The sequence below is a fragment of the Homo sapiens genome, chromosome 5 (assembly GCF_000001405.40).
Source record: "Homo sapiens chromosome 5, GRCh38.p14 Primary Assembly".
Taxonomy (NCBI): Eukaryota; Metazoa; Chordata; class Mammalia; order Primates; family Hominidae; genus Homo; species Homo sapiens.
This window is the reverse complement of record NC_000005.10, coordinates 71,548,506-71,574,333: the sequence shown is the minus strand read 5'-3', so window position 1 is coordinate 71,574,333 and position 25,828 is coordinate 71,548,506. Positions and strand designations below refer to the sequence as shown.

Genomic DNA, 25,828 nt, shown 5'->3' with positions numbered 1-25,828 from the left:
GCGGCACTGATTAGCCCAGTGATTTCCTTTGTTACAGCGAGGACAAAGTCCTGGCATTTTTTTCTGCTGGGGGAGGAACTGCATTGTAAGATCCTTTCTGTCCTGAGATCTGGCGGCATTCCTTTTTTAAATGTCCAGTTTTTCCACAATTATAATATTTTCCCATTTTAGGGTCTGACCCTTGGCTCCTTTTAGATTTGTCAACAGCTAAATTAGCCATTGCTTGCACTGACATTGTAGATCGATGAAGCTCAGTTCCTACATCTTGACAAGCTCTGAGGAAATTTCCCAAGTTTTTGTACACCTCACTGGTGCCAGGGCACATTTACAATCCGCATTTACATTCTCAAAAGCTAGAGTTAAAGTTAGCATTTCTGCAGCCACGGTATGAGGAATCTGACGCTTCACTGCCTCTTGCAATCTTGCAAGAAATTGTACATAGGGTTCCTGCAACCCTTGCATGATATGTGAAAAGGACTGTACTGGGACTCCCTCTTCAGGAATTGTGGCCCAGGAACGTTTAGTGGCCTGTACACACTGCTGATAAGCAGTATCTGGGAGTGCCATTTGACATTCCAGGTCTGAATAAGGGCCTTTACCCAATAGCAAATCCTCTGTAATGTCTCCGGGTCCAGCAACACGGTTCTGTCTAGCCTGGTCTGCACACAGTTCTTGCCAATTTAAATTCCACGTCAGATATGCACTAGCAGACAAGCAAGTTCACGCCAATTGTTTTACATCAAAGGGTAAAAGACGCATAGCACCAAACACAGATTCTAGTAATCCTAAGGTGAATGGGCTCTGTACGCCCTTACTTACCACACTCACTTTTAATTCCTTCAACAACTTAAACTCTAGTCGAGTGTGTTCATGAATGAGCTGCTGTGCATTATTTGGATCAGGTCTTATGGAAATAGGAAAAGCACAAGGTCCTAAGGACTCTCCAGCTATGGCAGCAGAGCGTAAAATTATTTGTATTGGGGTCTCTATTTCTGCTACCTAAGGAGGTGGTGCAGATGGTTCTGCAACTGGAGCAGGTGGTATAGGCCAATTTTCATCCTCCCTCTCCTGTTTTTTCTTTTCTTTTCTTTCTTTTTTTTTTTTTTGAAACAGAGTCTCGTTCTGTCACCCAGGCTGGAGTGCGGTGGCACGATCTTGACTCACTGCAACCTCTGCCTCCCGGGTTCAAGCATTCTCCTGCCTCCGCCTCCTGAGTAGCTGGGACTACAGGCACATGCCACCACGCCCGGCTAATTTTTGTATTTTTAGTAGAGACAGGGTTTCACCATGTTGCCCAGGCTGGTTTTGAACTCCTAACCTCAAATGATCCACCCGCCTTGGCCTCTCAAAGTGCTGGGATTACAGGCGTGAGCCACCATGCCTGGCCCTGTTTTTTATTTTCAGCTGGAGCTGTGGGTGGGACAACAGATTCTTTCAGATTTTTAGACTCAGCCTGCTGTCCCACAGAATAATAAGGAGCTAATGGTAGAAGTACAGTACAAATTAAACTCCAAGTGGAAAAAACAGAAGAATCAACTTTAAGACCTTTTTTCATGAGGCTGTTTTAATCGTTCTCCTGCTCTGTCCCAATCTTCCACATCAAGAGTTTTAATAAGCCGTGGAAACCATGGGTTATGCGTAATAACCTCCTGTAGCATCTTAATGAATGTCTGAGAACCCGAGCACCAGTTTGTTTCAACGAAACTTTAAGCAACTGCACATAATGTTTTCCTTCAATAGACAAATTCTGCTCCATGTTACCCTGATTCAGAAAACTTCCCATTCCCAGTACTTCTTTAAAGCACTGCTCCTAGTACCTTTTTAGGGCACTGACCTTATATCCGCTGCCAGCAGACTCATCCCGGGGTCCCCATTCGCCTTGTCAATTTCAGTTCCTCTGCTCTAGCAGACATTCTTCATTCACATCCTCGAAGCCCCTGTGTTTGGACGCCACTTGTAAAGCACCAGATTCTGTTGCTGTTCGAGGCACCACTTGCAGCCTGCCAGGATCCCTGGTGGACTGAACAAAGGGGGATGAATGCGGGAATAAAGACAAGAGACAAAAGAATATGTTTGGAAGAAGGGTCAGGGGACACCTTGTCTCTAGTGAACAAGGGCCCTGAGCTTTACACAGCCCTCTGTATTTATTAGGCAAAAGAGATAGTGAGAAGGGGTGTGGAAGAAGAGGTCAGCTGCTCAGTCCAGAGTAGGCTTGCAAGACTGCATTCCTCGAACAATAGGCTCTAGACGTCCCAGTAGATAACCTCAAGGAGCCGGGGCCAGGGAGCGATGGCCCTCAGCAAACTTTCTGGGGCAGGCACAGAAGTGAGTTTGCCCACATTCTGTATTCATGATAAACAGTTTGCTCTTTGATCATGTAGCCTCCAGTGGAATGCTGAGTTGGTCACAATCCCTTTGGCCTTTTCGGCTCCCAACATATTCCCAGCATTTTGGGAGGGTGAGGCAGGTGGACCTGCTGAGGTCAGGAGTTCGAGACCAACCTGGCCGACATGGTGAAACCCCACCTCTACTAAAAATACAAAATAGTGGGGCATGCCTGTAGTTCCAGCTACTCGGGAGGCTGAGGCAGGAGAATTTCTTGAACCTAGGAGGTGGAGGTTGGAGTGAGTTGAGATCTTGCCATTGCCTCCAGCCTGGGCAACAAGAGCAAAACTCCATCTCAAAAATAAATAAATAATTAATTAAAATAAACTTCAGGATTGGGGCCCAGCAATCCGTGTTTAATAAGCCCTCCAAGGTGATTCTGATGCTCACTACTATACAGAGGAAGCCATGTACAGGAAGCCATCTGAAGACTCAGGAAAATGAGGATGTTGGAATGGATTCACAGTTGTCCCTGGGTATCTGAGAAAAACTGGTTCCAGGGGCCAGGTGCGGTGGCACAGGCCTGTAACCCCAGAACTTTGGGAGGCCGAGGCGGGTGGTTGGTTCACTTGAGCTCAGGAATTCAAAACCAGCTGGGCAATATGGCAAAAACCCATCTTTACAAAAAATATAAGTATTAGCCAGGCACGGTGGCATGCACCTATAGTCCCAGCTACTTGGGAGGCAAAGGCGGGAGGATCCCTTGAGCCCAGGATGTGGAAGCTGCAGTGAGCTGAGATCGTGCCACTGCCCTCCAGCCTAGGTAACAGGGCCAGACTTTGTCTCAAAAAGTAATAAAATAAAATGGGATAGTATTTGCATATAACATAGCACTATTCTTCTATATACTTTAAATCATCTCTAGGTTACTCATAATACTTAATACAATATGAATGCTATATAAATAGTTGTCATACTTATTTTTTATTTGTATTATTTGTTATAGTTGTATTGTTATTTTTATGTTTTATTTTTCAAATATTTCTGATCCTTGATGGGCTCAATCTCAGGATATGGAACCTGCTGATAAAGGGGGACTGGCTGTATTTATGTGCATCTTATTCAGACACCCCCTAACCATAACTCCCAAGAGGGCCTGGAGGACACTCTTTTCTTTAAAGTCTTGGTAACAGAAGCATCAGCCTCTTTAAAGAGCTGATGCAGCCACTATGATGGTTGTCCTTTGCAGACTGGAGATGATGGTGAGAGGTACTGCCAAGGAATTAGGCCCCTTGACCTCATTGGGAATACTGGAAGAAGCCAGGCAGCAATGCCGAACTGTTTTAGACCAGGTAGGCACAATTACTGTAATAAGCCATAGCAAAGGATTGACATAGTGTATTTTTACATGTGGGGATCTGTGATGATGGCTAATTGATCCCAAGGTTCCTGTTAGACTGACAGCCTTCTAAAGTGTTGCATGACACCTATAGACAAAACAATTCTAGGTCTGTTGTGCAAGAACCAAACTCAAGTCTCCATAGTGGAGAGAGCCTCATATCCAGTTTCCAGACTAAATAAATCAGGTTATAGACCCAAAGTCCCTTGACTGAGGGGGCAGATGGGAGCCTCTGAGGAAGGATTTTGTAATTGTGGCTTCATGGGTATACCATAAATCTTCCCCCAAGCCTTCTGCAGAGAGAACTATGGTTATTCATCAGGGTCTTTGCACTGGGGAAACAAAAATACTCAGCTATTTCACGGTTATTAAGATAGTGACTCTGAAATTATACTGATTTCCAGAGACCTTAAAAGCCTCTGTGATCCAGTTTTCAGAGTGAAGGCTAATGGAGGTTGCGTGAAAGATGGATTCTTGGTCTGACTTCTCACAGGAGCCCATCCTGTAATTATTTCCTCAGTCCCAGAATACACAGAAGTAGGATATAGCAGAATCATCACACAGTTTCCTTAACCCATGAGATAAGGCATTAAGGAAAGGCCAAGTAGAAGGTTTAAACCACCCCCATTCTCTGACCCACATAGTGAGTGGGATCTGTTGATTCCTACTACATTTCCATTTGATTCACCAGCTTGGCCAGCTGTTCAAGTCAGACAGGTCCGAATGAACAATGTTTCACATTTTTTTGTTTTGTGTGTTGGTGTTGGTGTTACACCTTAGGATCACCTGCAGATTTTTTTTTTAAATGGAGATGTCTGACGCCCACCCCCAGGCACTGCGAGTGTGTGTGTTTTCTAATTATTTTGAGACAGGGTCTCCCTCTTTCACCCACGCTGGAGTACAGTGGCACAATATCAGCGTACTGCAACCTCCACCTCTGGGCTCAAGTGATCCTCCCACCTCAGCCTCTCCAGTAGCTGGGACCACAGGCGCGTGCTAGCACACCTGGCTAATTTTTGCATTTTAGTAGACAAGGGGTTTTGCCATGTTGCCCAGGCTAGTCTCAAACTCCTGGGCTCAAGCGATCCTCCCATCTCGGCCTCCCAAAGTGCTAGGATTACAGGCGTGAGCCACTGTGCCTGGCCCTATTATTTTTTAATGTTTTTTAGCAACAGGGTCTCACTCTGTGACCCAGGCTGGCACGATCATACCTCACTGCAACCCTGAACTCCTGGGCTCAAGCAATCTTCCTGCCTCAGCCTCTCAAGTAGCTGGGACCACAGGCACACACCACCATGTTCTGCTAGTTTTTGCTTTGTTTTGTTTGTAGAGATAAGGTCTCGCTATGTCTCGCCTCAGCCTCCCAAAATGCTGGGATTACAGGCATGAGCCACTGCACCCAGACACTGATTTAACAATAAGGGATACCACTTGGACACAGAAACTTTTTAAAGCTTCCCAGGTGAGTCTGATGTGCAATAAAGTTTGGGAACCACTGGTCTTGGGGAATGACAATAAGTTATCACAGATTTAACAAATGATGTCAATCACAGCTGCAGTTGGCGATTGGTACCTTTATTAGACCAAATCAACACAACTCCTAATACCTGGAATAAAGCTAGTGCCATGAAAAAAATGCAACATTTTCCATTCCAGTAAGAAAAATTAAAAGAACTTGAATTATTGTGGCAGGGACAACTGATTTTACTGTCTTACTTCAGAGTGATATGAATACCCTCATTTTCTTTCATTATATAGTCTGGAGAGACTTTTATTTTCTTGATTTTTGACAAAAAAATGAAATGTGACATGTATAACATTATGCTAACTGGAGCTGGAAAGCACGAATTAGCAAGCAGCTAGATGTCTTAGGAAGACATACATATATAAGAGGTTGGGAGGTAAATACTGTTAAAGTTCAGGAGCCTGCCACATAGGTGAATCTCCTAAGGGTCTAGTGGTCTGAGGACATGGGATCTATTTTTGAAGGGAAGAAACAAGCTACCCAGGCATGACGGCTCACCTACCTGGGAGGATTGCTCGCACCCAGAAGTTCGAGGCTGCAGTGAGCTATGATCACGCCACCACACTCCAGCCTGGGCAACAAAGCGAAACCCCATCTCTTAAACAAAGGCAGTGGGGAGAGGGAGACAAGATTCTGCACCTTGCACTGGTCACCATGAAGACAGAAGCAACAATGTTTGAAGTCGCCCTTTGAGTTTGAGATAAAATATATTTGGGAATACTACCCCAACCTACTTACTGGGTAGCCCGTAAGACTGCCGATTTTTAGTGAAACCCAATGTAAGACAGGGCTCTCCAGCAGATTCAGGATGCGATGCTGCAGCAAACAGAGATGCTGTGTGGAGTCTCTTCCAAATACTATTAGGACAATCACATTGCAGACTCCTACAGCTTTGAAATAACGACATGCACACCTGTCAAAAATTTGTCTCCTCCCCACAAAGACAGGGTCTTCTTCTGTCATCCAGGCTGGAGTGTGGTGGGGCAATCACAGCTCACTGCAGCCTCAACCTCCTCCTGGGCTCAAGCGAACCTCTCATCCCAGCCTCCTGAGTAACTGGGACCAAAAGCACACACCACCACAGTTGGCTGATTTTTAATTTTTTTGTAGAGATGAGGTCTCATTATGTTGCCCAGGCTGGTCTTGAACTCCTGGGCTCAAGCAATCCTCCCACCTCGGCCTCCGAAAGTGCTGGGATTACAGGTGTAAGCCACGATACCCAGCCAATTCTTTATTTAGTCATCTTAAAAGGACACAACAGAAATGATATAAAATAACTTTTATTTACATAATTTATATATATATATAACTGCTTTCTTTAGAACAAGAAAATTTATAAATGACATGATATTGCTTTTTCTGTCAAAGACTTCTTCAAGCAAGATAGTATACATGGTCACTTTTGTTTCAAATAACATGATGGTAAACAGTGGATATTAATATTTTTGTCATGCCTCAACCATTTACCAACAATTAGGCGTTCAAATCCTCATGTTGACCACTTGCTAAGACATAAGTGTTCAGGAGAAAAAGTCAAGAAAAGATAAAAACTTTTACTCATATCTCCTTTAAAATTTGTGAAATAAATCCTTTGCAACATCTTCTTCACATGAATCAGACCTAACATAGTTCTTTCCAACATGTAAGGTAAATACATTGATTAACTTTCTCTTTTCCAAAATTAGGTTTAAGGATTTAACAGTAGGATACTTTAGCTGGCTGACTTGATTCTCTAATACAATGAGTCTCTGTATTCTTTATATAGTAAGAAATTCCATTTTCCATAAAACTAGCTCATTATAGATTAAAAAGAAACAGATGTTAAAGTTAAAAACTAATATTACACAAGGATAAATAATAGTTTAATCATGGCAATCTAACTCCCAAGCTAACACTAAGAGAATGAAATCTTTTCAGAATATGAGTTTTAAAAACTTACAAAAACAGGGTATTCAAATAGCAATGTGATTTACTACCATGATTTCTGTGACATATCAATCATGAAATAAATGCCTACTTATAGACAATTTCCGCTCCGAATTATATAGCCTCCTCTCTGACAAAGTGTTACGCCATAAATTTCACTAAAAGACAATGAATAAGAAGTGCTCTAACAGCAGTAGTTTCAATAAATTAGCATTACTGTTATATGTGCTGAGACATAATTCTCTTCTATTAAGGAACTTAAAAACTGGCCACCATTTTTTCAATATACAAACATAATTATCTAGACTCTAAAATATCTTCCCAACTGAAATACTGATCATTACATAATACAGTCAACAGTTTTAACTTTTAGGCACAACTCATAACTTTAGTGACAAATAACTCATCCATACAGATATCAGCACCTCAGGGTAAGAAAATTTGGGGCCTAATGTAGGGGGTCAAACTAAAAGGCCAATCCAGCCACAGTCCTTCATTCAAGTACTGTCTATGGCTTCTTTCACACTGAAATTGCAGAGCTGAGTAGCTGCCACAGAGACCATCTGGCCTGCAAACCCAAAACAGTTTGCAGAAAGTTTCCAATGCCTGAGCTACTATACTATCAATCCAAGAGGCTTTTCAAATAAAATCAGGATAAATTTGCTGTTTGAGAAGTCTAATTGGAACCACTACAGATCTGCTTGGGTAGATAATAGAATTACACGTATAAAAAATCAAATCTTGAAATTAAAACAAACCTTAAATTCATACTGATGATAATCATTAACTTTATAAAGCCTTATTTTCTCTGTTTTTAACATCATGATTATGTTCCGTGCTTAAAGATCCAAGTGTTCCTTGAGAATTTAATGGGAAAAAACTATGAAGAAATTGGCTTTTTAAAAACTAATATTATGTCTGTGGGTGTATAAAGGAGATTGAGCTTTGTATGGAAATTTTGTCTCATAAATAAAGTTGAGTTCCCCCTATCCTCATGAAAATCCTGAGATTATCCAAGAAAAGCAGAAAAATTTACAGTACAAAGTCAATATACTAAACTGAGGGGAAAAAGGTATTCAAAACATATACACCAGCTAAACATTTTTAGTTATATCATTTTAAATATCTTTAAAATTAAACAGAAAAAGGAGACAAACATAAATTTAATGCCTTCTTTATCTACAATCTGAGGGGTAAAAATAGCTAAAACTGAATATCCTTTTAAATAAAAAATTTAAAAATAAATAAGCCCTTTGATGTGTCATCTTTATAAATAATTATGTTTAAATACTAGTTTTTCAATTAGGACTAATGTTACATCACCATGAATTAGAAAAATATGTATTTTTCAGTCAGACAAACAGCTGATAATAGAAAAGTTCTTTAACATTTGCCATACTAAAGTGAAGTTTGACAATTTGTTTTCACATATAGTCACGTGTCCCTTAACTACATGTTCTAAGAATTGCCTTGTTAGGTGATCTTGTGTGAAACAACGCAGAGTGTACTTACAAACACTGAGATGGTACAGGCTGCTACACACCGTACAGACTGAGGCTATGTGGTATAGCCTATTGCTCCTCGGCTACAAACCTCTACAATGTGTTACTATGCTGAATACTGTAGGCAGTTGTAACACAATAGTAAGTATTTGTGTATCTAAACATATCTAAACATAAAAAAGCAATGCACTGTGTTATGATGGCTATAATGTCACTAGTTGATAGGAATTTATCTCCATTTTAATTGCATGGGACCACTGTAATATATGTGGTCCATCATTGACTTAAACTTCATTATGTGATACATGACTGTACTTAGAAGCAAATGAAAAAGCCTTCATCCTTCATCATCTCCCCCTAAAAATAAAAAATCTTCACAAAAGAAGTTGCTAAATGTTAAATATGATACAATTAACCCCCAAATCTGTCTGCACTGCAATTCATACAGAGACATATATCCACAACATTCCCAAATGTCCATGTGTGCTTAGCACAGGAAGAGTCAAAATGTAAACAAGAGTTGTTATTTCTGTCTGAGAAAGCAGTCTTAATTGCTTGCTATTTGCAAAATGCTGAATCAGTCAGAATGAAAGGAACCTCAGAAATGTTTTCCACTGATTATAAAAGCTTCAAATCAAGCTCATTAAGTATTCAAAATCAACCTAAAGAAAAATAAGACAGTGATATTTTGCTCTAAATACTGTTTTGTTGATGTAATTGACTCTGGAAATCCTAGACCTAATTTAAAAAAGAAAAAGAGAAAAGATTGTTTTATTCTGTTTCATCCACTTCAATGAAGATATCATTGAAGAAATATTCAGAGACTGTGGTTGCCTCCCCTTGAGGGGCCCGCTTTTGGGCACTTTTATATCCTTCTTTCAGTAAGGGCTGATCACAAGAAACCTAAAAAGGTAATAAAAATAAAGTAAAAATAAAACTGTAATACAACATTTATATATATATGTGTGTGTATATATAGCAGTCTAAACCAATATGATCTGTTTGAAAAGCAACGTGGCAATAAATATTGAGCTTTAAATATGTTCACAATCACTGACCCAAAAATTTCACTTCTATGCTGTTACATTAAGTAAATAATCCTAAACATAGTAGGAGTTTTATGACTAAGATAACCTTTGTAGCATTAGTTATAATAATAAAATAGGAAGCAACTAAATATACCACACTAGATATAATTAGGTAAATTACAGTGTACCCATAATCCATTACTTCATCCTAATTTCCATGAAAAATTTTAATAAAGAAAAATATAATATGGTTAAATCTGTCACTAAATAAAGTAAAAATACTTTAATTATTTGCATAATAGACAGACCCATGACAAAACAGCACCTAAAGAAAACATATCAAAGATACCTTATCAGAAATTAGCATACTTACAAATCTATAAACAAATTAAGACAGCATGGTATTGGCACACGAATGACAGATATATCAATGAAACAGAAGACTAGAAATAACCCCAATATATATAGAAATTTAGCATCTGATAAAAGTGCCATATCAAAAACAGTTATTGTATTATTAAATAAATGATGTTGGACAACTATATAACCATCTCAGGGGGAAAAAAGTCAGACCAATACCTTACCAAAACAAATTCTAGATGGATCAAAAGATTTAAATGTAAAAGTATTTTTTAAAAAACTCTACTATAAAAATGCCATGGAAAAACACTTTTATAATTCTGGACGGAGGTAGGTGGGGAAGGGTACCTTTTTATTTATTTATTTATTTTAAGACAAAGCCAGGCTGGAATGCAATGGCATGATCTCAGCCCACTGCAACCTCCACCTCCCGGGTTCAAGCAATTCTCTTATCTCAGCCTCCCAAGTAGCTGGGACTACAGGCACACACCACCGTGCCTGATTAAATTTTGTATTTTGGTAGAGATGGGGTTTTGCCATGTTGGCCAGGCTGGTCTCAAACTCCTCACCTCAGGTGATCTGCCCGCCTTGGCCTCCCAAAGTGCTGGGATTACAGGCGTGAGCCACCGCACCCAGCTGGGAAGAGTACCTTTTTAAACTATCTGAAAGCAGAAAGCTATAAAAGATTGACAAATTAAACAGAAATAAAAAATGTCTGCTTGACAAAAACCACCATAAATAAAATCAAAAGACAAATGACATACAGAGAAAAAAAAAATTGCAATCTTTATCACAAAGGGCCTTTTTCCCTGAATATAATAAGAACACTACAGGCCAGGCACAGTGGCTCATGCCTGTAATTCCAACACTTTGGGAGGCCAAGGCTTGAGGCCAGGCATTTGAGAACAGCATGGCCCACATGGCGAAATCCCGCCTCTACTAAAGATACAAAAATTAGCTGGGTGTTGTGGCATGCATCTGTAAGCTCAGCTAATCGAGAAGCTGAGACAGGAGAATCACTTGAACCCAGGGGATGGAGGTTGCAGTGAACCAAGATCACGCCACTGCACTACAGCCTGGGTGACAGAGTGAGTGAGACTCTGTCTCAAAACAAACACACAAAAAAAACAAAACCCACGACTTTGGCAATGATAAGCTAGACTGATATCTTGATCTCAGAAAATAATTCTAACAAATAATACAAAATGTTTTTAAAAAGTTTAAAGATGTTCTTTACAAAAGTACCCCTTCCAAAGGCTCATGCTGTTCAACAGATGCTCACCAGCCTTCTCTTTGTCAAGATCTTAAGTCACCCCAATATTTTTACAAAGTCTTTGATACAGGTTTACAGAGTTTTCCATCCCAATACTTGCCATTGGACAGCTTCAGGAGACATAGAAATGAAACATGTGAACAAATTCTAGTTTTACAGTTCCTTAAATTCTTGTGGGTGTCAGCACTGCTTCCTTTTGCTTCCACAAGTCAGAAGGGTCTCTAGATTAAAGGAATGGCTATTAAGTGTCCATTTATGGTTAGTTCAATGGCTCTGTACTAATCTAACTGTAACTTCCTGACTCAACACCTTTTCTTCTTCCATTATGGAGGAACACGATGGAGAGAAGGATGGGAGTTGCTCTAAAATAATTTCTGACATCAAATAAAAATAACAAATTACTATGTTTTCCCTAGTTGAATCTCATATCCAACCCATCTCATACAAACTATAAAATACAGTAGTTATCACATACCTGAGTTGCTGAGCTGCTAATATTCTCAGATTGAGTAGTAATAACACTTGGAGATGGAAGCAGATCAGAGGACTCTCGATTTTTTTCCTGGCTTTCATTGAATGGATTAGATCTTTTCAATTTCTTTCTTAATCCAGGTATAAGAGGTTTTAGGCGTTTCTTACTATGGACTTGCATAGGTTCATCAGACTCCAAACTATTCTTTGAGCATATTAAAGATAAAAATCCCAGGGGTCTTCTGCCAGGTCTAGAAATACAAATGTAACGATATTCAAGAATACCCAGGAAGACACATTCTTTTTTTTTTTTTTTTTTTTTTTTTTTTGAGACGCAGTCTCACTCTCACCCAGGCTGGAGTGCAGTGGCGCAATCTCGGCTCACTGCAACCTCCACCTCCCAGGTTCAAGAGATTCTCCTGCTTCAGCCTCCCAAGTAGCTGTAGTAGAGACGGGGTTTCACCATGTTGGTCAGGCTGGTCTCGAACTCCTGACGTCGTCATCTGCCTGCCTCAGCCTCCCAAAGTGCTGGAATTACAGGCGTGAGCCACCGCACCCAGCCAAGACACAACCTTAATACCTGCTTCTGCTTTGGGAGGCTAAGGTGGGAAGACCACTTAAGGCCAGGAGCTCAAAAACAGCCTGGGCAAAATTAGCAGGACCCCGGTCTCTAGAACATCTCTAGCATTCAAATCACTTGGGGATCTTATTAAAATGAAGATTCGCACAGTTGGTAGCGGGCATGGCCTGAGTTCTGCATTTTATCAAGTTCTCAAATGATGTCCATACTGCTGTTGTCAGGACTACACTCTGAGTAGCAAAGCTGTGGAACAGTGGTCAGCACAGTATGCTCTACAGGCCACATGCAGCCCCGCACCCAATTCTGTGAGTATGTTTTACTGGAACACAGCTATGTTCATCTGTTTACATATGGTCTATGGTTGCTTTTGTGCTGTAACTGCAGAGCTGAATAGCTGTTAACAGAGACCACATGGCTTACAAAGCCTAAAATATATACAAATGCCATTTTACAAAAAATGCTGACTTCCGTTCTAGAACACTGCTTCTCAACCTGTTTTAATCCAAACTCTCATGATGTTATTATTTTATTTTAATTTATTTTTTGAGACAGTTTCGCTCTTGTTGCCCAGGCTGGAGTGCAATGGCACAATCTCGGCTCACCGCACCCTCCGCCTCCTGGGTTCAAGCGATTCTCCTGCCTCAGCCTCCTGAGTCACTGGGATTACAGGCATGTGCCAACATGCCCAGCTAATTTTATATTTTTAGTAGAGATGGGGCTTCTCCATGTTGGTTAGGCTGGTCTGGAACTCCCAACCTCAGGTGATCCACCCACCTCAGCCTCCCAAAGTGCTGGGATTACAGGCATGAGCCACCGCACCCAGCCTTTTTTTTTCTTTTTTCAGAGACGGGTCTGGCTATGTTGCCCAGGCTGGAGTGCAGTGGCTATTCACAGGCACAATCATAGCTCACTGCAATCTCAAACTCCGGCCTCAGCCTCCTGAGTAGCTGGGATTATAGGCATGTGCCACTGTACCTGGGCCTCATTCTATTTTCAGCACATATCTAAGGCCAGAAGAGATACCACTGAGCTTTACCTTCTATAATTTAGATAACAAAAACAATAGATCTATTAAATATGTCTTTTAAGCTACATGTGTCCTTTCCCCAACCCCTTCCCCTTAGTGGAGACTAGTGCATGTTCCCCCACCTCTTTCAGTTCAGCAACACCACATTAATCTTCTGGATGCTGCTGACAAGCCAATAATTATTGATAATCATTGCTTCTAGAATATGAGGAAATTGTGAGAGAAGTTGGCTCTTGCTTAAATTCCAACACTTATTCTTATGGGGAGAAAGCCATGGTTTACCTCTTTGGTTTGTCACAAGGGAGAAAAATGACACATTATTTGGGACTTCAGTAAAACAACTTCTGATGTCAGCATCCATACATATGTGCATTAGTAGCTACTGAACATGGTAGATTATGTAATGATCAAAATAACCATGGATAATCTAAAAAAATAAGTGTACAAAATATTCTAAAGATTTTCTATCTAAAAAAGTTTTAGCACTTAAGCTCTTATTGTACAGAATGTGTATCTGCAATATTACTGTATTTCCTTGGCTGAAACTTTTTCCTTTACATTACTGATGGAGGAATATGTTTATTAAACACCATCCTTAGTACTGGATCTAATCTGTTCTGTATAGGTTATATTTATTAAGACAGAGAGCAAAACACTTATTAAAGATTTGTTCATGATACCTGGATAGTGAGGCTTTAGAAGACGATGTTCTGCTATCCATTTGCTGAGACTTAGGAGCAGCATCAGTTCTTTCTTCCTTATCAGACACAATCATTTCATCCTGAGGTAACTGAGGCACATTCTTGTCCATGCATGCATCAGGAGATCTAGATCCTCTACTCTGAAAAGCTGCTTCAACTTGCTGTCTTTGAGGTTCTGGAGTTGTCAGTGTGCTTCCTGAGGTAAGAAAAATATCTTGTCCCTTGTGAGACTCCCCTTCAAAAAAAAGAGCAAATGGAAAGCAAGGATACTGAAGTTAATACACTCCATGTAATCCCAGCATTTGAAAAGAAACCCATGGTATTCTATAATAAACCTACCCTAATAAGAGTAAGCTAAATTATCATTAGTGGAGTTACTTGGATTATTAAGAATATTATAATTGGTTAATAAGGTATGCTAACAGCTTCTGCATTCAGAAACAAAATAGTTATATCAATATATTTTGGCCTAGAAAATATTTTCCCAGAAATATTTCCTGAGCAATCAAAATGGGAGAGTGATTACTTTCTAAAAAAGCTAAGGTTTGTTAAAATTTAGAAACCAAACCAATCCAAAATATAGGTGGTAACTCAAGTACCTGTGGTCTCCTGAAAAGTAAAACCTACAGACTCTCAAATACTCAAGTTTAGCTAAAGAATTCTCTTTCCTTAACTAAATAGTAGACAAAAGCCAAAGTAGCCAAAGATTAGGACAAAATAACTAAAGCTTTCTTGCTCAATAAAAAACCTGTTTTCCCTTAGTATAGCTAAGGCCTTGTTCTCAGAGAGAGTGTTTTAGCTCTGTGAAGGGAGAATGAAGTTGATAAGTAAACCTGCTAAAAGAAACAACCTAATTAAAGATAGCATAGAACAAATTCACTAACACTTCACTGTATTGTGGTTTGCTTAATGCTTTTATTGGAGAGCAGATGGATGGGAGCAATCTTAGAACATCTCTAGAGGCTGTAAACTGTAACCATATTACAGTTTCACAGTCAAAGTTGGGACAATTAAGTCTAAGACTGTATTAACATTATAAGAGTTTTTTTGTTTTTGTTTTTTTGAGACAGAGTCTCGCTCTGTCGTCCAGGCTGGAGTGCAGAGGCGCGATCTCGGCTCACTGCAACCTCTGCCTCCCGGGTTCAAGCAATTCACTCACCTCAGCCTCCCGAGTAGCTGGGATTACAGGCATGCACCACCACACCTAACTAATTTTTGTATTTTTAGCAGAGACAGTGTTTCACCATGTTGTCCAGGCTGCTCCCGAACTCCTGACCTCAAGTGACCCACCAACTTTGGCAACCCAAAGTGCTGGGATTATAGGTGTGAGCCACTGTGCTCAGCCCATTATATGTGTGGGGTTTTTTTGTTGTTTTTTTTTTTTGTTTTTGAGACAGAGTTTCGCTCTTGTTGCCCAGGCTGGAGTGCAATGGCGCAATCTCGGCTCACCGCAACCTCTGCCTCCCAGGTTCAAGTGATTCTCCTGCCTCAGCCTGCCGAGTAACTGGGATTACAGGTGCCCGCCACCACGCCCAGCTTATTTTTGTATTTTTAGTAGAGATGAGGCTTCGCCATGTTGGCCAGGCTGGTCTCGAACTCCTGACCTCAGGTGATCCACCTGCCTTGGCCTCCCAAAGTGCTGGGATTACAGGCGTGAGCCACCACGCCCAGTCAAGTATTTTTTGTTTGTTTTTTGAGACAGAGATTTGCTCTGTCACCCAGGCTGGCGTGCAATGGCGTGATCTCAGCTGGCTGCAACCTCCGTCTCCCAGGTTCAAGCAATCTCCTGCCTCAGCCTCCCAAATAGCTAGGATTACAGGCGCCCACCACCACGCCTGGCTAATTTTTTGTATTTTTAGTAGAGATGGGGTTTCGCCATGTTGGCCAGGCTGACCTCAGGTGATCCACTCACCTCGGCCTCCCAAAGTGCTGAGATTACAGGCCATGAGCCACTGCGCCTGGCCCATTATAAGTGTTTTTAAAGAACCAGAACCATCATAGGTTATCAAACCCTTCTCTATCTTGTAACTCTAACTCTGTAAGATGCCATCAGCAACATTTTTATTCTTGAGTGCCATTGCCATGGTAAAGCAATGGCTATAGGTGTGAATGATAAGCCTAACTTTGAGAGAAAAGAGAAATAATGTCATAAAAGAAATGAAAAACAGAGTTGTATAAACACAGGATAAATGTGACTGGCAGCTTTAGTCATGAGGGAAATAGATCCTAAGTGGTTTAATGTCCCACAGAAATTTTAGATTCCTATAAAAATAGAAGACTCTAAGATCTTTTCAGCTTCCATAGGTGGCTTAAGCCTGAAAAAATCTCTAGAACTAAACTAATTTTCAGGGTAAAGAACCTATTATGAATGCCATTATAGGCCACAGGTGGTGGCTCATGCTTATAATCCCAGTACTTTTGGAGGCTGGGGTGGGCAGACTGCTTGAAGCCAGGAGTTCAAGACCAGCATGGGCAACATGGCGAAACCCCATCTCTACAAAAATACATTCAAGACCAGGCTGGACAACATGGTCTCTACAAAAAATACAAACTCTGTCTCTACAAAAAACACAAAAATTTCGAGGCCGGCAGATCACGAGGTCAGGAGATCAAGACCATCCTGGCTAATACGGTGAAATCCTGTCTCTACTAAAAATACAAAAAATTAGCTGGGCGTGGTGGCAGGTGCCTGTAGTCCCAGCTACTAGGGAGGCTGAGGCAGGAGAATGGTGTGAGCCCAGGAGGCAGAACTTGCAGTGAGCCGAGATCGCACCACTGCACTCCAGCCTGGGTGACAGAGCGAGACACCGTCTCAAAAAAAAAAAAAAAAAAAAAAAAAAATTAGCTTGGCATAGTGGCGCATGCCTGTAGTCCCAGCTAGTTAGGAGGCTGAGGTGGGAGGATTGCTTGAGCCTGGGAGGTGGAGGCTGCAGTGAGCTGTGATTGTGCCACTGCACTCCAGCCTAGGTAACAGAGTGAGAACCTGTCTTGGCGGGGCGGGGGAGAAAAAAAGCCATTACATTCAGCTAACTCCTAAAGTGTAGTTATTGAGCTTACATAGAAAATCCTTGTAGCCACATAGTCTTCAACTGATGACAGGATGAAAAGACCTTCTTTTGCCTACCAAACTGCCAAATCCAAGGCCTTTGCAGGAAAGAAGTGCTGATAATACAAGTATTACTCTTGGAGAAAAGGAATACTCAGTTTCAATCTCATATTTGAACAAGGTATATCCCAAATAATCAGGAGTATTTAGCAAAATGCAATCATGTTAAAATGTATTTCACTTACCTGTTTCCTCAAAAACATTTGTTAATTCCTTTGAGTGCACCTATTTTAAGAAAATTTAAAAAAAAATTTAGAAATTTATCAAGTAAAACTGAAATTAATTTTATTTCCTTTTTTTCTTTAAGTAAAGAAACTATGTTATCTCCCAAAAAGCTCTTAGAGGAATTCTACTAAACATTTATGGCAAAAATATTGCTACTATTTTAAAATGTTCCAGAGCCCACTGGAAGAGAGAAAGCTGCTAACTGCCTTTTATAATCAGTCTCAATATCAGTGCAAAAGTATCAAAGAAATAGTACAAGCAGCACATCAAAAGACTACTACATCACAATCAAGTAGAGCTCGTTTCAGGAATGCAAAGATGATCTGACACTATGAAATCTAATATAAACCAACAGACCTGAGGAGAAAAATCATCTGTATTTATAGAAAAGGTACCCAATGATATTCATTCTTGAAAAAAACTTATAAAATGGAACAGATATTTTCTTAACACTATAAAATATAACTATTGCAATCTAGAAGCTAGCATCCCACATAATAAACACTGGAAGTTCTCCTATTAAAATCGGAAATTAAAAAAAAAGATGTGCACTATTTGGATCACTTTTTAATATTATTTTTTAGTTATATTAGCCACTATAATTACAAAAAAATTAGAACTACAAAAAGTAGAAGAATTAAAATTATATTTGCAGATGGTATGTCTGTTTACCTACAAAACCCAAGAGAACCAACTGAAAAATTACTGCATACAATGAGGGAACTCAGTAAGCTCTCTAAATAGAAAAGAACTTAATGATAACAGCAACAAAAAAGATAAAACTCATAGGGGTAACCTATAAGAAATGTGTAAGATTTATATGAAGAAGAGTTTAACACAAAATAGAAAGACACAAAACAAGACTTAAACAAATGGAAAGACATACCATGTTTTTGAATAGGAAGATTCAATATTATAATTATGCTGTCAATTTCCCCTAAGTTAATCTAAGTTAATATGATTCAAATACAAATACCAATAGAACTCTTTTTTAAAGAGCTAAACAAGTTAATTCTAAAATTCATATTAATTTGAGAACATATAAGTAATGAGGAGAAACTTGAAAAAAGAAGAAAATTGTATGGGTTTGGGAGAGATACTGTCCCTATAAGATACCAAAGTGCATCATAAAGCTACAAAAATTCGGCCGGGCGTGGTGGCCCACACCTGTAATATCCCATCACTTTGCAAGGCCGAGGCAGGCGGATCATCTGAGGTCCGGAGTTCGAGACCAGCCTAACCAACATGGAGAAACCCCGTCTCTACTAAAATTACAAAATTAGCTGGGCGTGGTGGCGGCTGCCTGTAATCCCAGCTACTCGGGAGGCTGAGGCAGGAGAATCACTTGAATCTGGGAGGTGGAGGTTGCAGTGAGCTGAGATCACGCTATTGCACTCCAGCCTGGGCAATAGGAGAGAAACTCCATCTCAAAAAAAAAAAAAAGAATAAAGAAAACTACAAAAATTCAAACAGTATGATGATACTGGCCCCAGAACAAATAGGTGAATCAACATAAAAGAAAAGGAAGTTTTAGGAATATATCCAAACAAATATGAAGATTTACTGTCTTACTGATAAAAGCAGAATTTCCTATCAGTGGAAATAAGATGAATTATTCAGTAAACGGTAAAAGTCATATGAGGAAAATTAACTTGGCCCTATTCCTTACACCAAATCAAATTCGCAACAAATCAGTAATATTAACATTAACTAGGAAATTTAAGTCTCAAAGGACTTTCAATGTATAACATAATCTCCAGAAGCCATACACAAAAAGACTGATAAATCTGATTATGGAAAATAAAAAATGTCTTCTATCTGAATACAGTGTATGTGTATCCTACAATTTTGTACAGGCTGAGCATCCCAAAGCTGAAAATCCGAAATGCTCCAAAATTCTAAACTTTTTGAGTGCTGACATGACACTCAAAGGAAATGCTCATTGAAGCATTTCAGATTTTGGCTTTTCAGGTTTGGGATGTGGAACTGTTAAGTATAATACAAATGTAAGTATAATGCAATTATTCTAAAATTCAAAAAAATCTGAAATTTGAAACACTTCCGGTCCTAAGCATTTCGAATAAAGGATACTCAACTAGTAAAAGCAATTTTTAAAAAATTGTTAAAATGCTAAAAACAAAGTTTAGAAAATAAAAATCACAAATAAGCCAAATGGACATTATACTTTTCTTACATATTCACACCACTGTATAACTACCATTTTTTAAATGGCGTATCATAGTCTGGTGACCTAGTTTTGTACTTAGTAAAGTACTATGGTCTTTTGTCCATGTCATTAAAGATATTTTTAAAACAAAACAAAATAATGTCTGCATGGAATGCTGATAAATTATTGAAACTGGGTGACTGGTACATGGGGGCACATTATACCTAGTCTATCTTTTAATATGTCTGGAAATGTTCATATAAAAAGTTAATCCAAAAGTTCTGCATGAGAAAACAACAACAAAGAAAGCAGAGTCAAGAGACAATGACAAACTGGGAAAAAAGATTTGCAACTCATTACCACAGACATATATAAGAGTTCTTCCAGTTCTCTAAGAAAAAGATCAATAATCTAATTGAAAAGTGGGTAAAGGAAAAGTCAGTTCATAGAAAAGGAAATACACATGGCTCTTAAGCATATGAAAAGATGTTCAATCTTACCCATAACAAGAGAAAATAAAACAGTTCTGGGATATGCCATTTTTTTACTCACCAAATATATAAAAGCACACTTGCTCTTTGTCAACTATTACTCAAGAACTATTGGTCTTTAACTTTCTCTTTGAGAACACGGGTTTTAAAAGGACTTTTCCATAGTGTAGTTACAAATTATGATGAGTACTAGATGAGTATAAAAACAAGAGGGTACTAGGAAACCTACAACATAGTGGTTGGTGACTGAATTCGCATGGTCTGGCCGGACTTCCCTGAGGCACTGATGACTGAACTAAAGAAGTCTGTATGTTTTTCAAGGGAATGTTTCACACAGAAGGTACATCAAATGAAGTGTCCTGGGACATTTAAGGAATTGAAAGATGGCCAGTGTGGCCAGAAAGTGAGGCAGAAGCTGGCACAAAATGAGACTAGAGACAAAAATCAGCAAGACAATGTGGGGCACTAAAGGCTGTGGTTTTACTCCTAAAAGCAATGGGTAGCTTTAGGCATGATGATGATGATGATGATACTAGTATTATCATTTTACATATTAGGAAACCTGATCAGAGAGAGAGGTGAAGTATCTTGCCTAAGGTGTTACAGCTACTAGGTGGTAGAGCCAAGATCCAGACATATATAATGCTTTTGGTCTTATTTTTAGCCACCAATACAGAGCTGGGAATAAGTTTCTTGATTACTCTCCATCAATTTTCATTTACCATTGGTTAAAAGTGATAATCCAAAACCAGTTTTACTTGAATAACTTATGATGATAAATGTCAGAACTATCTTTATATATATCTAAAAGTTTAAAGAGAATAAAGGAAAAAATAGGAACAGATCTGTTGCAATATGGCCATCTTACTTAATGGCCATATTGAGTGGTACTTAATATACCACTTACCTCAGTGGTATATTCTTGACAGTCATCTCTTAAAGTGAGTGAACGTTTTTTGGCAGGAGGAATGTGGTCATTTTTATCAAGCCTGCATTGAAATCTCTTCCTAGATACAAGATCCAAATTATCAGGCGGCTTTTTAGAATTATCTCTTCCAGAAATAGATAAACCCATGGCATCTTGACCAACTGAAGTTGCTGGTAAACAAATACTGCATAGAAAAGAAATACATACTAAATTACTGAATTAGAAGTTATTTAACACTTTTTTTTTTAAAGGATCCTAGAAATCCTTCCAATAATAAAGTTAAAGGCTGAGGTATTCCAATGAAAATTCCAATAAAACCAAAAAACTCCAAACTAAGAGATACACGGCCATGGCCCCAAAAATGCTATTAATAGTTTTGAGCTCCATTCATACTTCAGGGCTTATAACTTAAATTCCATAGTATTGAATTAAATCTGAATATTACCCTCTCCCTCTCCCTCTCCCCATGGTCTCCCTCTCCCTCTCTTTCCACGGTCTCCCTCTGATGCCGAGCCGAAGCTGGACTGTACTGCTGCCATCTCGGCTCACTGCAGCCTCCCTGCCTGGTTCTCCTGCCTCAGCCTGCCGAGTGCCTGCGATTGCAGGCGCGCGACACCACACCTGACTGGTTTTCGTATTTTTTTGGTGGAGACGGGGTTTCGCTGTGTTGGCGGGGCTGGTCTCCAGCTCCTAACCGCGAGTGATCCGCCGGCCTCGGCCTCCCGACGTGCCGGGATTGCAGACGGAGTCTTGTTCACTCAGTGCTCAATGGTGCCCAGGCTGGAGTGCGGTGGCGTGATCTCGGCTCGCTACAGCCTCCACCTCCCAGCCGCCTGCCTTGGCCTCCCAAAGTGCCGAGATTGCAGCCTCTGCCTGGCCGCCCATCGTCTGGGATGTGAGGAGCCCCTCTGCCTGGCTGCCCAGTCTGGAAAGTGAGGAGCGTCTCTGCCCGGCGGCCATCCCATCTAGGAAGTGAGGAGCGCCTCTTCCCGGCCACCATCCCATCTAGGAAGTGAGGAGCGTCTCTGCCCGGCCGCCCATCATCTGAGATGTGGGGGGCGCCTCTGCCCCGCCGCCCCGTCTGGGATGTGAGGAGCGCCTCTGCCCGGCCGCGACCCTGTCTGGGAGGTGAGGAGCGTCTCTGCCCGGCTGCCCCATCTGAGAAGTGAGGAGCCCCTCCGCCCGGCAGCCGCCCCGTCTGAGAAGTGAGGAGCCCCTCCTACCGGCAGCCACCCCGTCTGGGAAGTGAGGAGCGTCTCCGCCCGGCAGCCACCCCGTCCGGGAGGGAGGTGGGGGTCAGCCCTCGCCAGGCCAGCCGCCCCGTCCGGGAGGGAGGTGGGGGGGTCAGCCCCCCGCCCGGCCAGCCGCCCCGTCCGGGAGGGAGGTGGGGGGGTCAGCCCCCCGCCTGGCCAGCTGCCCCGTCCGGGAGGTGAGGGGCGCCTCTGTCTGGCTGCCCCTACTGGGAAGTGGGGAGCCCCTCTGCCCGGCCAGCCACCCCGTCTGGGAGGGAGGTGGGGGGGTCAGCCCCCCTCCCGGCCAGCCGCCCCGTCCGGGAGGTGAGGGGCACCTCTGCCCGGCCGCCCCTGCTGGGAAGTGAGGGGCGCCTCTGCCCGGCCGCCCCTGCTGGGAAGTGAAGAGCCCCTCTGCCCGGCCACCACCCCGTCTGGGAGGTGTGCCCAGCGGCTCATTGAGAATGGGCCATGATGACGTGGCGGTTTTGTGGAATAGAAAGGGGGAAAGGTGAGGAAAAGATTGAGAAATCGGATGGTTGCCGTGTCTGTGTAGAAAGAAGTAGACATGGGAGACTTTTCATTTGGTTCTGTACTAAGAAAAATTCTTCTGCCTTGGGATCCTGTTGATCTGTGACCTTACCCCCAACCCTGTGCTCTCTGAAACATGTGCTGTGTCCACTCAGGGTTGAATGGATTAAGGGCGGTGCAAGATGTGCTTGTTAAACAGATGCTTGAACGCAGTATGCTCGTTAAGAGTCATCACCAGTCCCTAATCTCAAGTACCCAGGGACACAAAAACAGCGGAAGGCCGCAGGGTCCTCTGCCTAGGAAAACCAGAGACCTTTGTTCACTTGTTTATCTGCTGACCTTCCCTCCACTATTGTCCTATGACCCTGCCAAATCCCCCTCTGCGAGAAACACCCAAGAATGATCAATTAAAAATAAATAAATAAATAAATAAATAAATAAACAACTAAAAAATAATAATAAAATAAATCTGAATATTTAATAGTATTTTCCCTAATTGTAAAGTTAAACGTTTAACCTAAAATGTCCCTTCTAGTCCAGGCGCAGTGGCTCACGTCTGTAATCCCAACACTTTGGGAGACCGAGGCAGGTGTATTACCTGAGGCCAGGAGTTTGAGACCAGCCTGGTCAACATGGTAAAACCCCATCTCTACTAAAAATACAAAAAATTAGCCAGTGTGGTGGCACGCACCTATAGTCCCAGCTACTTGGGAGGCTTAGGCACGAGAATCACTTGAACCCGGGAGGTGGAGGTTGCAGTGAGCTGAGATCACGCCACTACACTCCACCTGGGCAACAGAGCAAGATTCTGTCTCCAAAAATAAAAATATTAAAGTCTTCAATTTCTAATGCTACACGATGGACAATTATCTTAATTAATGGTAGTTAAGATATAACTTACTTCCAAAATAAAGAATTAAAATAAGAGTATCAAGAACAGCTGGGCACAGTGGCTCATGCCTGTAATCTCAGCACTTTGGGAGGCCAAGGTGGGAGGAATGCATGAGGCCAGGAGTTCAAGACAAGCCTGGGTACCAGAGCAAGACTCTACCTCTGAAAAAAGAAAAAAAAAATTTTTTTTTAATTAGCTAACCACAGTGGTGCGCACCTGTAGCTGAGAAGCTACTTGAAAGGCTGAGGCATGAGGATCTTTTTTTTTTTTTCCTCACTCTATCACCCAGGCTAGAGTGCAGTGGTGCAATCTCAGCTCACTGCAACTTCCACCTCCCGGGTTCAAGTGGTTCTCCTGCCTCCGTCTCCTGAGTAGCTGGGATTACAGGCGCAGGCCACCATGACCAGCTAATTTTTGTATTTGTAGTAGTGATGGAGTTTCGCCATGTTGGCCAAGCTGGTCTTCAACTCCTGACCTCAGGTGATCTGCCCACCTTGGCCTCCCAAAGCCCTGGGATTAAAGGCGCAAGCCACCACGCCTGGCCAGGAGGATCTCTTGCGCCCAGGAGTTCGAGGATGCAGTGAACTATGATGGCACCACTACACTTCAGCCTGGCACTCTAGCCTGGGCACCAAAGCAAGTCCCTGTCTCTTAAGAAAAAAAACTGTATTTATTACCACTGTACTATTTTCACAACTTTCTGTGAATGCATATTTCACAGTTTCATATGTGTATGTTTATACAAAGTAACCACACTTTTAACAGGTATCATTTTATGATCTAGACTGTTAATTTTTTTAGCTTTCAAAATAACTTAATAAACAAGTTTCATACAAAACTAATACATGAAACATTTAAGTGGCATCTTTATCAGATATAAAATCTACCACATTACATTTCTTCTCTAACTTACCACATAAATGATAAATAAGATCTCCACAACAATAACAACTAACATTGGTGAATGGTTTGTTCAATCAATGCTACTTAGTTCATAAATCACTTTTCCTCCTAGCAAAAACAGTTTCACTCATTCGTTACCTCATGTCACCCCTTTCTTCGGTATTCACTGATTTGACCAATATGGGAGCTGGCAGTAAAGGGTTTGGCATGAACTGTGCAGTGGCATCAGTAAATTCTTCTACTGCATTGGCTGGGATTTCCACCAGAGTTAAAATAAAGGCTTGTTCATCTTCTCCATCTTGAGGTACATTAGCAACTAGATTCACTATCAAAGTTTAAAAGTTAGTAATAAAAAAGCTCAACTATGAAATAACAGAGTATCATTAATTTATTTCATTTCTAAAAAGACAGTCTCAGGACAACTTATCATCAAGACTAAATAAATAAATGCTCCCCCCAACAACCCCCCAGCCTGAGGAAGTAAGTTCCCTCCTTTTTTGCGGGGGGGAGACAGAGTCTCGCTCTGTCGCCCGGGCTGAAATACAGTGGCACAATCTCGGCTCACTGCAACCTCCGCCTCCTGGGTTCAAGCGATTCTTGTGCCTCAGTCTCCCAAGTAGATGGGATTACAGGTGCATGCCACCGTGCCTGGCTAGTTTTGTATTTTTAGTAGAGATGGTGTTTCACCATGTTGGCCAGGCTGGTCTCGAACTCCTGGCCTCAAGTGATCTACCCACCTCCGCCTCCCAAAGTGAGCCACCATGACTGGCCCAAGAAGTAATTTCATAAAGGATAAAGGTGATATACTAGGGAGAAGATTTATGACTCTGAAAAACAAAACTGATACACAAAATACTTCAAGGTGTTTCTATAAAACGTTTTAAATTTAAGGCCAGCATAGACTAAAATACAACTGTTTTATGTTTTTCCATAGTTAAATAAGGGGTAAAAATCATACAACTAAGTTCTATGACATGTCACTGAAGCATATTATCATACCTGTTAGGTCTTGAGGATTGATTATATTCTCTTGTTGGACTTCTGGAATACTTGTTGGTGTATACTGCCATAAAAAATTAAAATGAAAGAGTCAGGTTGGCCAAATCTTACATTTAAAAAGTTATTCCTGTCAATATGATATAGTGAAGAGATTAACTCAACAACATCTAACCATATACAGTTTTCAAGTGTTTGAAGCTTTAGGCTGTTCCAATAAACTTTTGATTCATTTAAATAAAT

The 25,828-nt window shown here is 41.1% G+C and overlaps 1 protein-coding gene across 9 annotated transcripts in view; it reads right to left on the bottom strand.

Annotated features, from left to right (window-relative positions):
• BDP1 (BDP1 general transcription factor IIIB subunit) overlaps positions 1 to 25,828 on the bottom strand; it is a 122,638-nt gene that overhangs the window by 3,955 nt on the left and 92,855 nt on the right. For 3 of the 9 annotated variants that reach the window (XM_017009630.2, XM_047417372.1, XM_017009631.2), the window contains exons 33-39: positions 25,589 to 25,652; positions 24,728 to 24,914; positions 21,014 to 21,218; positions 17,409 to 17,448; positions 14,097 to 14,352; positions 11,814 to 12,060; positions 1,835 to 2,020 (exon numbers count right to left, since the gene is read on the bottom strand). In XM_017009630.2, coding sequence (XP_016865119.1) covers positions 1,889 to 2,020; positions 11,814 to 12,060; positions 14,097 to 14,352; positions 17,409 to 17,448; positions 21,014 to 21,218; positions 24,728 to 24,914; positions 25,589 to 25,652 — 1,131 coding nt within the window. In that variant the 3' untranslated portion in view covers positions 1,835 to 1,888. Of the gene's footprint in view, positions 1 to 1,834; positions 2,021 to 6,513; positions 11,560 to 11,813; positions 12,061 to 14,096; positions 14,353 to 17,408; positions 17,449 to 21,013; positions 21,219 to 24,727; positions 24,915 to 25,588; positions 25,653 to 25,828 lie in introns of those variants that run through there. The other 6 variants (NM_018429.3, XM_011543511.4, XM_047417373.1 and 3 more) reach the window with 5 other exon arrangements.